General features: G+C 48.6%; 2 protein-coding genes across 18 annotated transcripts in view, besides 3 other annotated features; one reads left to right on the top strand and one right to left on the bottom strand.

Annotated features, from left to right (window-relative positions):
- RRP1B (ribosomal RNA processing 1B) overlaps positions 1-7978 on the bottom strand; it is a 36520-nt gene extending 28542 nt beyond the window's left edge. The window contains exon 1 of the mRNA NM_015056.3: positions 7744-7978. Within this exon, the coding sequence (NP_055871.1) occupies positions 7744-7873 (130 nt within the window). The 5' untranslated portion in view covers positions 7874-7978. The remainder of the gene's footprint in view (positions 1-7743) is intronic.
- Positions 4177-4236: an enhancer, noted in NCBI's record as "active region_18545". NCBI's record gives its function as "activates an Ori minimal core promoter by ATAC-STARR-seq in GM12878 lymphoblastoid cells {active_cell/tissue: GM12878}" and the evidence as "EXISTENCE:reporter gene assay evidence [ECO:0000049][PMID:35858748]".
- Positions 6986-7035: an enhancer, noted in NCBI's record as "active region_18544". NCBI's record gives its function as "activates an Ori minimal core promoter by ATAC-STARR-seq in GM12878 lymphoblastoid cells {active_cell/tissue: GM12878}" and the evidence as "EXISTENCE:reporter gene assay evidence [ECO:0000049][PMID:35858748]".
- Positions 7756-7945: a silencer, noted in NCBI's record as "silent region_13362". NCBI's record gives its function as "represses an Ori minimal core promoter by ATAC-STARR-seq in GM12878 lymphoblastoid cells {active_cell/tissue: GM12878}" and the evidence as "EXISTENCE:reporter gene assay evidence [ECO:0000049][PMID:35858748]".
- HSF2BP (heat shock transcription factor 2 binding protein) overlaps positions 8050-16638 on the top strand; it is a 214517-nt gene continuing 205928 nt past the window's right edge. For 12 of the 17 annotated variants that reach the window (XR_007067782.1, XR_007067781.1, XR_007067780.1 and 9 more), the window contains exons 1-3: positions 8050-8152; positions 9218-9477; positions 10801-10951. Coding sequence is in view for 13 of the 17 variants with exons in the window: in XM_017028269.2 (XP_016883758.1) it covers positions 9442-9477; positions 10801-10951 (187 nt within the window). In the remaining 4 variants the exon portion in view is untranslated. Of the gene's footprint in view, positions 9478-10800; positions 10952-16638 lie in introns of all 17 variants that reach the window. The other 5 variants (XM_047440674.1, XM_047440675.1, XM_047440679.1 and 2 more) reach the window with 2 other exon arrangements.

Below are 16638 nucleotides of genomic sequence, written 5' to 3'. Positions count from 1 at the left end.
CACTTGAGCTCAGGAGTTTGAGACCAGCCTGGGCAACACAGCAAAACCCAATCTCTACAACATTGTACTCCATGGAGCTTGGGCGACAGAGCAAGACCCTGTCTTAAACACACACACACACACACCAACAACAAAACCAAAAAATTGGCAGAGCATGGTGGCATGTGCCTGTAGTCCCAAGTACTCAGGTGGCTGAAGTGGGAGGATGACCTGAGCCCAGGAATTTGAGGCTGCAGTAAGCTATAATCGTGCCACTGCACTCCAACCTGGGCAACAGAGCAACTCTGTCTCTCAAACAAACAAACAAACAAACAAACAAACGATATTAAGAAACTTGAAAGTGGATGTGTCAGACCATCAACACCCAAACCCACCGACCGATCATTAACATGCACAGGCAATAATCACGCATCAGATGCCAGAGGTGATGCCAACAGGAAGAACGCTGCACCAACCTATGAAGTATTCTTACAAAAGTAAGTGTCAAAAAAAAAAACACCCAACTGTGTCAAATCTTAACTATTAATATTAGTTTATAGGAAATACAGGGGACAGAGGAACATGGTAAGTGAGACAACAGGATGCAGTCAACAAACCCCAAATATGTGAAACTCTACAAGGCATATGACCTATGTCCCCAACAAATAAACTGTACAGAAAAAGATGGGTAAGAACTGTTAGATTTTAAGAGCGTCTTGGCAGACATATTAACCAAATGCAGTGGGTGGTCCTCATTTGGATTGCTCATAAAAAACATTTGATGAGAAAAACTAAACAGATTGGATATTTCATGCTATTAAGGATTTTTTTTTTTTTTTTTTGGAGACAGTTTCACTCTGTCGCCCAGGCTGGAGTGCAGTGGTGCAATCTCGGCTCACTGCAACCTCTGCTGCCCAGGTTCAAGCGATTCTCCTGCCTCAGCCTCCCACGTAGCTGGGATTACACGCACCTGCCACCGCACCCAGCTAAGTTTTGTAGTTTTTAATAGAGACGGGGTTTCGCCATGTTGGCCAGGATGGTCTCAGTCTCTTGACCACATGATCCCCCCACCTTGGCCTCCCATAGTGCTGGGATTACAGGCGTGAGCCACCAGGCCTGGCAGCCATGCTAGTTTTAAGGGGGAAAGTGAAGCACAACTTTGTGCAGGAGCTCAACTGCTGGTGCCAGCACCTTGTTTTTCTCCACTGCAACCTCTGCTGCCCCAAAGATTGTCTCCATTCTCAGACAGGCTCCACCTGTGTTACAAGGTGGCTGGGAGCAGGTACAAACTGTGTGTTCTCTTCAAGTCCAGTAAGGAGAGAGCTAGAAACTCCTAAGGACTGAGCAAGAAGATTTTTACCTGCAGAGGGTCACTTGGCTTTTCTTGAACCTGTCCTGTGGCCAAGGGAATTCTGCTGAATTGGCAGAAGCCGCCGCCTCTCCACGTGGGGTAAGCCCCACCCAGACCACAGAGTCCCTCCACACCCTGCTTGAAGGTGGAGAGCCTTGGAGGGAAATCCCAATGTAGCTGCCCAGCAAGGACAAGGAGTGCCCTGAGCCTGACCCCATGCAGTAACCTGGGTCCTTCAAATCCTCTCTTTGGGTTTAAGCTGGTTAATGCTCCTGCACTTCCAGTTGCATCACTGTCTTAGTCTGTTGCGCTGCTATAAAGGAACACCTGACGCTAAGAGGTTTATTTGGCTCGAGGCTCTGCAGGCTGTACAAGCATGGCTCCAGCATCTGCTTCTGGTGAGGACCTCAGGGAGTGTCCCATCTTGGCTGGAGGGGAAGGGGAGTTGTCATGTCACATAGCAAGGGAGGAGGAAGGTGCCAGGCTCTTTAACAGTCAGATCCCACAGGAACTAGGAGTGCGCGCTCATTTAATCCTGAGAATGGCACCAAGGGTTCCGCTGGAACCCAGGAGGCGGAGGTTTCAGTGAGCCAAGATCGCACCACTGCACTCCAGCCTGAGCGACAGAGCAAGACTCCATCTCAAAAAATAAACAAATAAATAAAATAAAATAAAACTAGCATGGCGTAGATGTTCTGTCAAGTTGCAACTGAAAGAGTCCTAACTAATAAAAACACGTTTATTGCAAAGAACCTTACCACCATCAAAGTGATATAATCACAAGCTTGTCTTGCTCCCTGCCTCCTGAATCCCAGGCTCTGAACCAGAGGGACTGATGCAACCTGTCTGATGTGTATCTTTCCAGATCTTTCCTGGGCATTTATTTACAGAACAGTTACAGGTAGTGCAGAAAAGCACAGTTGTGTGTGTGACCTAAATGGCATAATATTCTGTATTCTGGTCTTTCTCACTTAAAAACAGCATATTTATTTCCAGATGGTTTTGTAAGTATACCATTGGGTCAAGCCAACAGTAAGTGATAATGTGGTCTGCCTAGCATCTGCTATGGATAGCCCACACCTGTAACAGGCAAAGGCACAGTATGATGTGCTACAGAGGCGTTCATAATGGAAAACAGTAGATTCTGACGGAGTGACAACAGACCCTGGACAGTGGGCAGCAAAGTGGGCTGGGTGAGTAATATGGGTTGGCTGTGTCCCCACCCAAATCTCACCTTGAATTGTAATAATCCCCACGTGGTGGGAGGGACCCAGTGGGAGGTAACTGAATCACGGGGACGGGTTTTTCTCATGCTGTTCTCGTGAGACTGAATAAGTCTCATGAGATCTAACGGTTTTATAAAGGGGAGCTCTCCTGCACATACCCGCTTGCCTGCCGCCATGGATGACCTGCCTTTGCTTTGTTTCTCCTTTGCTGTCTGCCATGATTGTGAGGCCTCCCCAGCCATGTGGAACTGTGAGTCCATTAAACCTATTTCCTTTATAAATTACCCAGTCTCCGGAGTGTCTTTATTAGCAGCGTGAGAACAGGCTAATACAATGAGAAAAGATACTCTGATTGTCTCTTTTCTAGGAGGCAACAGAGTAGCACGGAAACAAACCTTGGCTCAGGCCCCAGCTTCCTGCTGACAGGGGCCCAGTATCAGAAAACTGTCAACTGACTTTTGGGCCTCAGTTCTATCACCTATACTATATGAAAGATTTATTGTTAGGGTCAAGCCCAAGACGTGTGAAACACTGTAAGAACAAAGCACTATTGAGTTGGTGAGAGATTACAATAATAATTGTCTCACTTTCTATTCCTAGGAATACATTTTACATTTTGTTCCCTTTTTTCTTTTTCTTTTTTTTTTTTTTTTTGAGACGGAGTTTTACTCTTGTTGCCCAGGCTGCAGTGCAATGGTGCGATCTTGGTTCACTGCCTCCCGGGTTCAGGTGATTTTCCTCCCTCAGCCTCCCAACCTCAGGTGATCCACCCGCCTCGGCTTCCCAAAGTGTTGGGATTACAGGCGTGAGCCACTGCGCCCGGCCCATTTTGTTCCCTTTTAAAACATCTATTTTCCATTTATGTCTGTGTGTGTGTGTTCACCTAGGAATCTAATAAAAACAAGCCACCAATTTTTGAAGTATTCAAAGTAAAAGAGAGAAATGCTCATTACTGAATTACTTTCAAAGCTCTGAAAGGCAAAGTACATTATCTGAAGCAGTTTGGTTTCATCAGTCTTGTCTTCTCTATTTTCTTCTTGGGGCTAAATTTCTTAAACTTAATACTACTGTTTTTACAACAATACAATATAGGTTTATTTATTTCAAAATGAATGAGGTAGGCCAGGTACAGTGGCTCACTTCTGTAATCCCAGCACTTTGGGAGACCGAGGTGGGCAGATCACCTGAGGTCAGGAGTTCAAGACCAGCCTGGCCATCATAGAGTGAAACCCTGTCTCTACTAAAAAAATACAAAAATTAGCTGGGCATGGTGGTGCATGCCTGTAGTCCCAGCTACTTGGGAAGCTGAGGCAGGATAATCGCTTGAACCTGGGAGGTGGAGGTTGCAGTGAGCCGAGATTGTGCCACTGCACTCCAGCCTGGGCGACAGAGCAAGTCTCTGTCTCTCAAAAAAACAAAAACAAAGGCTGGGCACGGTGTGGCTCACACCTGTAATCCCAGCACTTTGAGAGGCCTAGGCGGGCGGATCATGAGGTCAGGAGCTCAAGACCAGCCTGGCCAACATGGTGAAACACCGTCTCTACTAAAAACACAAAAATTAGCCAGGCGTGGTGGTGGGCGCTCGCTACTCGGGAGGGTGAGGCGGGAGAATTGCTTGAAACTGGAAGGTGGAGGTTGCAGTTAGCAGAGATCGCGCTGTTGCACTTCAGCCTGGGTGAAAGAGTGAAACTCTGTCTCAAAAAACAAAAACACACAAAACAAACGAGGTAAACATCAAAGTGAGACATGTAGACATGTGAAATATTAGTAAGTTTTGAAATGAGCAAATCCAACAGCCACTCTCACCACGCAATGAGCCCAGAAGCCATTTTAGATGGGGGTAAAGTGTTAAACTTGAACACACCCCAGTGTCAGAACATCCACAACTTCTATTTATTATAACTCTTGGATAGAGAGAACCCTAACCCCATCATTATAAAAAAACTTATATCCTCCATCATCTACACTGAATCTAATATAGCATCAACCATAAGATGTACTGTTATTTTGTATGCTGCCAAAAAGAAAGCAATGATACAAATGAAATTGTCACTGGGTTGATTTTGGGATGCCTCCCCATTTTAGTCAATATTTTTAAAGTTGCAGAACTGATAAGATAGGCAGGGATGGTCTGTTTTGTTCACTGCTATATTCCCAGTGCCAAGAATAGCGTACATAATAGTACACAGTTGGCACTCCATAAATGTTTGCTAAATATATGAATGAATGAATGAATTGGGACAAATAAGCTCTTATGGATGAAAGCCATGGAGAGTGATCATTTTATGACTGTGAGCACCCAACTTGAACAGTTAAAGCAAGAGCGCAACACTGTTACTTAAAGCAATACAAAGATTTCCAATTTATTTTTAAAATGACAAAGCTATCTATTGATGTTGCTGCAGAACAGCTCATGTTTCAGGAAGAGTGATAGCTCACATTTCCTTTATGATGCCTAAGACAAGATGCAGAAAAGTTGGAGCCTGTCATCGGGAGTCGAATGTCAGGCCAAGTTATTTCCAAACTTGTGCTGTAATTGTGATGGGGCATAGCTGTGGTGGAGACCTTGTGTTTTCTTGTCCCATTATCACTGTCCACGACGTTCATGCTGCGGAGTTATTTTCTGAAGGTCCACTGTACTCCATGCAATGTGGTGGTGAACAAGATATACAAGACAAGTCACTCTGGGTGTGATAGGCACTAACCAGACAGGACTCTGGAGCACTGGTGTAAACTGGTCTTAGGCCCCCGCATAACCTCTGCATTTGCAAATCCTGGGCTGGCTCACCAAAGGGTTTGAGCAAAAGGCTCTGTCTAGGCTGTCTTAGCACCGTAAGTATTGCCTCTGGTCTTCCACTCTTGTACAGGCCAAGACCTTTTACGGTTGCATGTACTCCCACTTCTGGCTAAGAAAACAGATGGAAGCTTACGGTGTTTCGGGAGAAGGATGACACATTGATAATTAAGAAGCAATGTAGCTAAGTGCTACAACAGAGACACAATGGATGTTTTAGAACCCTGGAGGAGTAGGGCAAGATGCTAGGCGAGGCTTTTTGAAGGAAGTGATACTGAACTGAATGCTGGCAGTGAAGAAGGTGTGGGATTCTTTGCAGAGTGAACAGGAGAAGCAAAGGCAGAGAGGTGAGAAATTGTGTGCTGTACACCAAGAACCATCACCGATTCTGTTGACGGAACATGAAGCAGTTACACGGGGCTTAGGCAGGAAGAGCACCTGAGGACAGATCATGACTTGCAGACACTGAATTTCAAAAAATATTGGTGATGTGGGATCAGATTTGTTTTAGGAAGATGACCCTGGGCTGGTCTGTGGAGGACAGATTCCTGGGGACACAAGTGAAGTTAAGGAGACCAGTTGGGGAATATGCGGGCGCAGAAGTTTCGGTGAGATACAAAGAGCCCACGGTCAAGAATTTATGTCATCAGGAGGTGAACGAGGGAGGACGGGGGTCCTCCCACTGGATGTGGGCCAGGGGAAGAGGATGAGGAATTCAGAGGAGTCCAGGACAATCCCGTGTGTCCGGCTGGAATCTGAATGGCTGGTGGGAACCAGCAACCAAAAGAAAAGAAAACAGGTGGCAGTGGAGCAGCAGCAGAGAACAGGATTTCGGGGAAAGAAAACAGAACTTTTTTTGGCATCCTGAGTGTGAGGTGCCAGGTAGAGAAGCCAGGCTAGCAAGGCACATCCGAGCTGCAAGTAGGAATGGGCTGGGACAACAATTTAGGTTTAGAAACCACCAGCATATATGGGGTACCTGGAACTGTGAGACTAAACAAAATCTCTTGGGGAGATTCTTAACAGAATCAAAGTCAGGAATTTTGGTCTTTATTCCTTTTTCTATCAGACTTCCCAGGAAAGTGTATTTTCTTTTTTTGGGTAGTCTGGTGATTTCTCTTAAAAATAAAACAAACTGAGAATGTCAGTGATGGGGGAGATAATATCTGTTCTTTTAAGCAGATTCTAAATGTATTAGTACCATCAGTAACTAAATAAAACTTTATCTTAAAACCTCTATTACACATTGTAGTTCATATTGTATGGGCTCACTCAAGAGTTTATAGAAAGTATTTTTGGATCAGGTAAATGAAATCATCCAACAGCAGTGCCGTTAAAATCTAAACTACAAAGCCCTGTGTGATCTGGCCACTGCCTACATCTCCAACTTCATCTCATAACACTCGCCCCCCCAACCCCAACTTATTGGTCTTTCAAACCACTCCTAGGGCACGTGAAGCTCTTTCCTGCCTCTGCATAGGCGGTTTCCGCTCATTTCTCTTCAGATCTGAGCTGATTATCAGCCCAGAGAGGCCTTCCCAGAACAGCCTATCAAGAAGAGCAACCTCCTTCCCTTTTTGCTATTATCTGGTTTTCTTTTTCCTTTTTTCTTTTCTTTTCTTTTTGAGACGGAGTTTCGCTCTTGTTGCCCAGGCCGGAGTGCAATGCTGCGATCTCGGCTCACCGCAACCTCCGCCTCCCAGGTTCAAGCGATTCTCCTGCCTCAGCCTCCCGAGTACTGAGATTACAGGCATGCGCCACCATGCCCGGCTAATTCTGTATTTTTAGTAGAGCCGGGGTTTCACCATGTTGGTCCGGCTGGTCTCGAACTCCCGACCTCAGGTGATCCGCCCGCCTCGGCTTCCCAGAGTGCTGGGATTACATGCGTGAGACACCGCGCCCGGCCTGCTACCTGGTTTTCATTTCCTTTACTACACTTACACAAGGTCTACTTTATTTGCCTGTTTGCCTCCTTGCTTTATTACTAATAGATCCTCGAGGGTAGTGATTTTGTCTGTCTTCTCTCCTGCAGCCCCGTCACGTAAAGGTGCTGGTCAAAGGAAGGCGGCAATCACCGACCGGACACCAGGGCAAATCAGGGCAGCCCAGTGATTCGAGATGCCGGCTGGGGAATCGGACCCATGTGGGTCTTTTCTCAGCTTCCCCGCTTACTGTGACTTTCATAAGTAACGGAACCCCCTCAACCCGTTTCCTTAAGTGTAAAAAGGCACTAGACACAGCAAGAAGCGGTTCCGGCAGCGCGGAAACCGAAGCACACGCTGGGTGTCACGACAACACGTGGAAGCCGCATTCCGTGCCGGGGCCCTGGCCCTAGCCCCAGCCCCGGCCCCCGGCCCGCCATGTGGCGCGGCTGACCGCGGCCGTGCGCCCACCTGTCTCCCTCTGCGTCTTCACGCTGATGTACTGGCGCAGCTTCTTCACCGCTCGGTCCCGGATGCCCTTCTCGCTGGACGCCAGCCGCTGGGCAAATTGGATCTCGGCCGGCTGCATGGCGGGGGCCATCGCGCCCGCTGGAGCATCCCCGGCCGCGCAACCCGCGGTGCCGCTGCAGCCAGCCGAGCGCTGCGGAGCAGCCAGCCACCGTCCGCCCGGGCCGCGACTGCACAGAAGGCGGCGGCGGCGGCGCGCGGGCTGATGGCGTCACAAAGGCGCCGCGGCTCGCAGCGCGCTCTGGGAGTGAGCGCGGCAGTGGCCCTGGCAGCTGGCGGAGCGGCCCAGCCCGTGTGCACGTGGCGCCGGCGCTGCCTTTCGGTTGCCAAAATTCAGGCTGTAGACGGCGAGGTTAGCCAGGGTTAGGACTTGACCAGGAAGAGACGGAAGGCTGTTTGTAAACGGTCTAGGATTTTTTGTTTGTTTTTGAGACAGGGTCTCCCTCTGTCGCCCAGGCTGGAATGCAGTGGCGCGATCTTGGCGGTGATCCTGGCTCACTGCAGCCTCGACCTCCCAGACTCGATCGATCCTCCCATCTCGACCGCCCAAGTAGCTGAGACTACAGGCGCGCGCCATCACGCCCCACTATTTGTTATTTTTTTGTAGAGACGGTGTCTCGCTATGTTGCCCAAGCTGGTCTCAAACTCCTGGGCTCAAGCAATCCTCCCGCGGCGGCCTCCCTGATCGCTGGGATTACAGGCTTGAGCCGCCGCGCCTGGCCACGGTCCAGGATCTTTAATCCCATTTAGCACACCTCGTTGAGCCAGCAGCTTACCTGCGATCTCCGTGGCGTGGAGTTTTTAACTGTGGAGCCCCCGGGCCCCCGGGTGGAGTTGAGACTGGAAGGAAAGGCCGGCACTGGGGCCTGTTGAGCGGGTGGAGGGCTCGCCTTCCTCCAGTGCCTGCAGAGGCTTGGGCAGATCGGTGCGCCCCTACCCCGGAGCCCTGGTGCCAGTGCAAGGGCGCCCGCGCAGGCGTCCCGAGGCCTGGCGAGCACGCGCGCTTCCAGGGGAGTTGGGCAGGGCGGGCTGCTTGCTAATTCCAGAGAGGGAAGAAATCTTAGCTTTGGGTTCATCTAAAACCCGAGGCCATCCTATATTTTGCGGACTCAGCGGGCGTGCTGGGGCAAGTTAATGGACTAGGTCACTCCACACGTAGCGGGGGTTATCTCAGTTGCTCCGCTCAGTTGTCTAGGCGACCTCCCGAGGTGCCTGTTGACACAAAAATTCAACCCTTAACGTAAAAGCGCCTGAATCCGAGCGAGGGAAGGCGCGCGGAGGCGAGGTTTCCAGCAAAGACTGCCCATTTGAACGCAGTCCCCCTTAGTGTAGCATTCCTCGCCAAACAGGAAAGGACCCATCCGATTTATTTTACTTGACACTTACATCAGGGGCTGACTTTCCTTCTGCTTTGCAGATAACAAGTTTAAAACCCCGGCTAAGCCAGAAGAGCCAAAGAGGGACCTCGCCAAGGCCACTCCTCGCTCTCTAGGCCGAGAATACTGCGCAAATTCTGGGAGGTTTGGGCCTGGCGGCTCTCCGTTCCCGACCCCCGGCGTGGATTCGTTCCCGCGCTTTCTGGCGTGAGGGGTCAGAGGGCGCGCCGACGCTCAGGCGAACGGAGCGGAGGCGGCAGCGGCCATGGGCGAAGCGGGCGCCGCTGAGGAGGCCTGCCGGGTTAGTGAGGAAGCCCTGGCCGACGCCAGCGTGTTTGAACCGTCGCCATTCGCTCCCCTCAGGGCCTCGCCCCGTGCGCTCGGAGACGGCTCGCTGTCGCGTGCTTGGGGGAAGCCTGGAGACTTCCTCCCCTAACGGCGTGGGCTGGGCCGGAGCGGGGTGGAGACCTGGGGCGGGAGGCGACTTCGCCTCCAAACCCACGCGGGGACCCGGTCTGTGAGGCTGCGCGTGGTGGGGGCACTCAGTGGCGCCAAAGCGGGCATGGGAGCGTGGGATGGATGGTCACTCTCTTCTCTGCTCCGTGGAAGCCCAGTTCCCCTCCGAAGGCCCTGGCCCCCTGCTTCGGGACTTAGCGTCAGGCTTAGAGAGAATCTGCCCTCCATCGATTTTATAACTGTAACTGATTGCATGCGATGGAGAAGGCGCTTGGACTGGGGCCAGATCCGTGTTCACATCCTGCTTCCACCCGTTATTAATTGTGCTGCATTGAGAGTCATCTAGCTCCCGTGCCTTAATTTCCATCTAGACAATCTTGGAGGCTTGGGGTGAATAGTAGATGAGATCACGGGCGGAGGGCTTGGCAAACCCAGTAGGAAACCAGATGACTTCCTTTTCCTCCTGATTAGTTTGGTGCTGCAGTGATAAAAAGTTGCAGGCGTTTTCTTTGACTTTTAGGAATAGAGCTCTTGTATGACTTTTCTTTTTCGTGGTCTTGCTCTGTTGCCCAGACTGGAGTGCAGTGGCACGATCATAGCTCACTGCAGCCTCCAACTCCTGAGCTCAAGCCTTCTTCCCGTGTCAGCCTGCTGCGTACAGGCGCCGGCCACCACACCTGGCTAATTTTTGTATTTTTAGTGAGATGGAGTTTCACCATACTGGTCAGGCTGGTCTTGAACTCCTGACCTCAGGTGATCCACCCGCCTCGGCCTCCCAAAGTGCTGGGATTACAGGCGTGAGCCACTGCGCCGGGCCTCCTGGGCACGTTTTCATATTTTTGTAGTGACAGGGTCTCTCCATGTTGCTCAGACTGGTCTTGAACTCCTGGCCTCCCAAATTCCTGGGATTTCAAGTGTGAGCCACCATGCCTGGCCTGTTTGTCCTTATTATTTTTAACATCTGGCTCCCTTTTTGAAGGCTGAAGCTTCAGCTTTCAAAATGTTTGTATGTACATAAAATATATCTATAGCAGAATATACAGTAGGTAGAGACATGATTTGAAACAACGATGCACATAAGAGGTGTGAAAGAAAAGCAAGTTAACTTGAGCTGTTGTTTTTTTTCTCATGTGAAGAGAAATATAATAAGATCTGCTTGTTCTTTTAGCACATGGGAACTAAAGAGGAATTTGTTAAAGTCAGAAAGAAGGATCTGGAACGGCTGACAACTGAAGTGATGCAAATACGGGACTTCTTACCCAGAATACTAAATGGGGAGGTGCTGGAGAGCTTCCAGAAATTAAAGATTGTAGAAAAAAGTGAGTCTTCATTTTCAGCAGTCATTGGTGGTAACAGTAATTTGTTCTAGCAGATTTACCCTAGGTAAATAATTGTAAACGAATTTTAAGGTACTCTTACAGTCCTTGTGATGATATTTGGGAGAGTCTGATGACCTAAGAAAGGGAGGTTTCCTCAGTGTAGTGACTTGGACATATGTAAGTTGGTATAAGTTGGTTGCCAGTTTTCTGAGCATCTATTAACAGCTTCTCTTTCTCTCTCTCTTCATTGGCAGAAGAATTTTATACTTTTGATAACTGAAAAGCTCTATTCTGAAAATTAAGTACTTACTGTGTAAGTTAAGGATCTTGCCAAATGGAAACCTTGCATGGAGTTTACTTGTCAGTAGAGATAGCTGGAAGTGTGTTCACTTATCTTTAGGTGGATGGGTGAGCCAGTATCTAGAACTGATTGAAGTTTAGGCTTTCTGGTGTCCATTCAGACTTTTGAGATTTGAGCTGAGCTGTTATGTTGAATACCAGTTTAGGAGCCTATTGAAGTTCCTGGACATACTCTGAGATTGTCTCAGCACTTGCTTGATTGAGGCCAAATCATGATTAAATCAGCCTTTGACGGTAAAGGCCAATTTACTGCATGACATTTGGTTGTTATCCCTCCCTGTGTGCCCTCTAGAAAAGGTGCATCCAGGGGGCCCAGGTAGCTGTAGCACTTGTCCAGACAAGAAGATAGCTCACCCCGAGAATATGAGTTTCTGGCATGTGCAAACGTATCTGGTCAGTGGGCCAGCCACATCCAGTTAGAAGGGACAGTTCTCATCCACCGTACCTTGTCCTGTTTATATTCTCTCCGAAGTCCTTGGATCCAGTCTTCTCTGCCCTGTGGTGTGCTCTGGGAGGTAGATCCCTACAGATGGGGCTCTCCTGGTTCCCTTGCTGGCTGCCAGTGGGGCTCACCAATGGAAGGCATTGCTGGGTGGAGAGAGAGGTTGGGGTGTTTCTTCCTGCTCCCTCCCTGCTTTGCTGCTGTTTTGTGGCAGTAGCTGCATCCCTCCACAACAGAGACTCCTGTCTAGAGGCCTCTTCCGTAGTCCTAGCTCTTGCTGGACTGCCCCTGCTCCTGTGGCTGTAGGGCTGTTGCTAGTCCCTGGGTACCTCGCTGTCCCTTGGTGGTTCTGTTATCTCTGCTCTCCCCTCTGTAAGTGGTCCCTTCAGAAAAGTCTCAACATCTGGGTTGATTTCTCTTTCCCACTGGGACTCTGCCAGATACATGGCGTGTCATTGGTTGCCAGAATGCCAGGTCATTGACTTCTAATTTCTCTAGTTTTGATTTCATGCTCATCCAGCAACTTTCTGAGATTAGTCATTCCTTGTGCATTTATCTTCAGGAAAGGAAGGTAAATAGGCATACACCAGTAGCAGCGTATGGCAGCCTGCTGGTTGGTTATATTCTCACTGTAAATTAATAAACTGGCATTCTAAAAAATACATCAGGGTCTCATGAGTTAGTTAACATGAGTGTCTTTAGTGATCAGTCCCGCTGCCAAAATCAAACCGAGTGAGGGCCACAAACAAATCTGTGGTCACTTGATCACAGTCTGCCTTTGGGAGATCTTATCTCATAGTCCCGGCCTTTCCCAGGCTATAGAGTCACCTTTTTCCCCATAGTCTCTCTGGCAATTCCTGCTTATTCCCCTTTGCTGAAATTTATCCTTCTCTGCTTTGCAGCCTTCCAATAGGGCTTGAGACTCAGGCCTAGGCCCCGCTCATTGCCTCACCCCATGGCTTCTCCCTAGGCAGTCTCATGCACACTCACAGCTTCAGTTACCGTCTTGATGCCAGTGGCTGCTGGATTTACTCTCTAGCCCAGAACTCTCCAAGCTCACGGCCTTGTGCCTGACTCCGACTTGGCATTTCTTCCTGCTTGTTTCATGATTATTTCAAATTCTAAATGTCTGCCCTAGCCTAATCAGTCTAAGGTCGCCAGGAACAGACCCACAGTCTGACAGAGTGAGGTTTATGGCTCTTTGCAGTGAGGAAGACCATACCAGAACACCGAGAAACTGTGGGGCATGTCAACAAAAAAGAGGATAGAGTTGTTGTAGGACTTGGAGACAGAGTGGTATTAGGTGAAGCATAAATGAAGCAAAATAGAACTGTGTCTAAAGGGACCAATATTAAGTCTGACTGCGAAGCGGACCCAGGTCCCGTTTCCTTGAAAACTACAACGTTCAAATAGACGTGGAACATTGTTCTAGAAATCCCTTACTTGAAGCTCTGCAGTAGCTGGAAATAGGGTTCTTTTCTGTGTCACAGTGACTTAGATCCTGCAGGCAAGAGTGGGATCTTCTTACTTGTATAATTTCAAAGAACAAAATTTGTGCGAGTCTGGGATTTTACAGAATAAGGCTTCTCAGTGAATAAGAAGTTAGCAGTCACTCAAAGAAGAGGTCATTATGACACTTTACAGTTGCATTGTCTTTGAGAGATATTTTCTGTTAACTTGGCACCTGACTTTATCTGTGTTTGTTATTCCAGCCTGACAGAAGTCAGGACAGACTTTTGCTTTCTCGGTGCAAGCTGATTTTTACTTCCTGTTGTCATATCTGCCTCATGCTATCTGTTCCCTGCCCCTGTCTTACACTGGCCTGCCTCAGTCTCCCCAGAGCACCAACACCCAGACTAGAGACCCAGGAGTCTTCCTTGTTACCTGTCTCTCTTCCTCACTACTCCGCATGAAACCTGTCCGCTAGTAAGTCTTGTGAGTGTTACTTCATGGATGCATCCTGAATCATCAGCCTGCGTCTGTCTCCACTGCTGTGTTCTGCCTCCTCCTGGCGGTCTCCTCACTGCCACTCTCCAGTCCCTCAGACACACTGTAGCCTGAGTAGTTTGTGGCAGTTCAATCTGATGATGCCATTCACCTGCGTAAGTCTTCAGACGCTTCTCTTTGTTTTTAGGATAAAGAGCAAAAACCTAAAAACCCCACCCAGACTCATTATCATCCAAAAACCTAAGCAAAACCATACTACGGCTTAAAAGGCTTTATATTATTGGGCACAGCCCCGGCTCAGAGTCACTGCCTAATCTGACTACCTCGACATGATCAATCTTCCTTTGAAATGTTGTCATGGTACCCTATGCTTCCTTCAGACACATGGTTTTATTTCCATTTTACTTTATAAGCTGTTGGGAGTGCAGGGCCCCTGATTTTATCTGTCATTATCTCGGCCCCTGATTTTGTCTGTCATTATCTCCCTGGCTGATTATTCGGTCTTGAGGGAGCACCCTACTGTCTCTGCATGCCCTTCTTTCTTTCTCTCTCTCTCTTCCTTCCTTCTCCCTTCCCTTCCCTCCCCTCCCCTCCCCTTCCCTTCCCCTTCCCTTCCCTTCCCCTTCCCTTCCCTTCCCCTTCCCTTCCTTTCCCTTTTCTCTCTCTCTCTCTCTCTGTGTCTCTCTTTCTCTCTTTCTTCCGAGTCTCACTCTGTTGCCCAGGCTTGAGTGCAGTGGCATGATCTCAGCTCACTGCAACCCTGCAACCTCTGCCCCCTGGGTTCAAGCGATTCTCTTGCCTCAGTCTCCCGAGTAGCTGGGATTACAGGTGTGTGCCACCACGCCAGCTAATTTTTGTATTTTTAGTTAGAGACCAGGTTTCACCACGTTGGCCAGACTAGTCTTGAACTCCTGACCTCAGGTGATCTGCCCGCCTCGGCCTCCCAAAGCACTGGATTACAGTTATGAGCCACTGCGCCTGGCCTGATGCCCTTCTTTCTAGTTTGCAGTCCTATCTCATGAAACTCACATGTGCTCCAGGAAACGTGGTGTTAACAGAAAGGAAGGATCAGATTGGGCTGGGCTGGTTCCAGGAGGTTTACTGTGGCCTCCTAAGGCATCTTTTATCTAATTTTGGCTTTTGAGTTTTTACCATTTAGCCAACATCAAGAAAAATAAAAATTCTTCTTTTTATAAGGCCTAGATCTGATGGCCCTCCCCAAGCCTTCCCACGAGCCTGTCTTCCTAGACTAATCATGCTAGACATGACTCTAAGAATAGAGCTCTACAGAGGAAATTCACGATTGTACTGTGGCAGCAAGAGCCGTTTGACATACTGATTCTTCTACTCTCCCACTAGCCCTATTGTCCAGTATCCACTCCTTTTGCTTCTAGAGGTTAATGTGCACTTCCAGTTGTTTTTTTTTTTTTTTTTTTTGATGGTGTCTGGCTCTGTCTCCCAGGCTGGAGTGCAGTGGTGTGATCTCAGCTCACTGCAACCTCTGCCTCCCGGGTTCAAGCTATTCTCCTGCCTCAGCCTCCAGAGTAGCTGGGAATACAGGCGCCTGCCATCACGCCTGGCTAATTTTTGTATTTTTAGTAGAGGCAGGATTTCACCATATTGGCCACGCTGGTCTCGATCTCCTGACCTCAAGTGATCTGCCCGCCTTGGCCTCCCAAAGTGCTGGAATTACAGGCATGAGTCACCATGTGCTTCCAATCTTAAGCAGTGACTAAAGGCAACCTGAAGGTAGGAATGAATACAGGCAGGGAAGGAGTAGACCTGATTTGAGAAGTTTCTTTTAGAGTGTGGATATAGTTTTGTTTGGATGGGCTTGGGCTATACAGTAACTTGTAAGCCAGCTAGAGGATTGAGGTGACACATCAAGTAGCGAATGGGGCTTGATTTTGACTCTAGCCCAGCATCTCCCTTTGGGAGGACTGGGCAAGGTAAATGGCAGTTTGCAATAATACTGACGAAGGTGTTGCCTGAGAGTCTTAGGGAGTTGATGGGTACTGGGGAGAGGCATGATTTGTTAGGAGGAGAAGGGGAGATATTCTAGGCCAGGGCGGTGGCATGTGAAAGTCACACATGGGATTGAGCAGGACCGATTGCAGGTTCATCAGCTAGTGTTTGATTGCTGTATGGAATAAGGATTGGGGGTATAGCAGAATTAGGGATGGAAAATGAACAGTTTATGGAAGACAATCATAGATTGTTTTTAATTTGAGATGAGAGTCAACTGGAAATTACCACATGGAAATAACCATCAAAATAGTGATCAAAATGACGTTTTTTAGGAGAATGGTTTTTATAGGTGAGTGTAGGATAGGTTTGAAGAATTGGGTGGAAGATGAATTAGAGCATTCATCAAGGAAGGTCGTGAGTTCCATTAGTGTGTGGGACTGTGGCTGTATGGATGGAATGGAAGGGACGTTTGATTAGTCTTGGTGGTTAAGTCAGGACAAAGTGTCATGATTTATGATCGGCAGTGAGAGTATGGAGATACAGGATCATCTATATACTGCCTGCTGATTAGTGTCTACAAAATGTGGACAGTAATGCTTACCTCATAGGCTATGGCAAAGCTTAAAATGAGATAAGCTCTGTAAGGTGTGTGCCACTGTGACTGGCTCATAGGAGTCCCTGGTAAATAACACCTCCTCAGATGGTGTGGGAAACTATGTGAACCCTTGGGGAAATGAAGAGAGACTCCAATTCACAGCCCAGCAGCTTAGCTTCTGGCTCGGCCATTGTCACTTCATGAGTTTGGGAAAAGTTTAGGGAGGTTCGAGTAAGACTCAGCTATGTTTGCAAGAGATGTAAACCGGGCCGGGTGCGGTGGCTCACGCCTGTAATCCCAACACTTTGGGAAGCCAAGGCTGGCAGATCACTTGAGGTCAGGAGTTCGAGACCAGACTGGCCGACAAGGTGAAAC

The sequence above is a fragment of the Homo sapiens genome, chromosome 21 (genome assembly GCF_000001405.40).
Source record: "Homo sapiens chromosome 21, GRCh38.p14 Primary Assembly".
Taxonomy (NCBI): Eukaryota; Metazoa; Chordata; class Mammalia; order Primates; family Hominidae; genus Homo; species Homo sapiens.
Note: the sequence above shows the minus strand (reverse complement) of the source record. Positions and strands in the feature narration are given on the sequence as shown.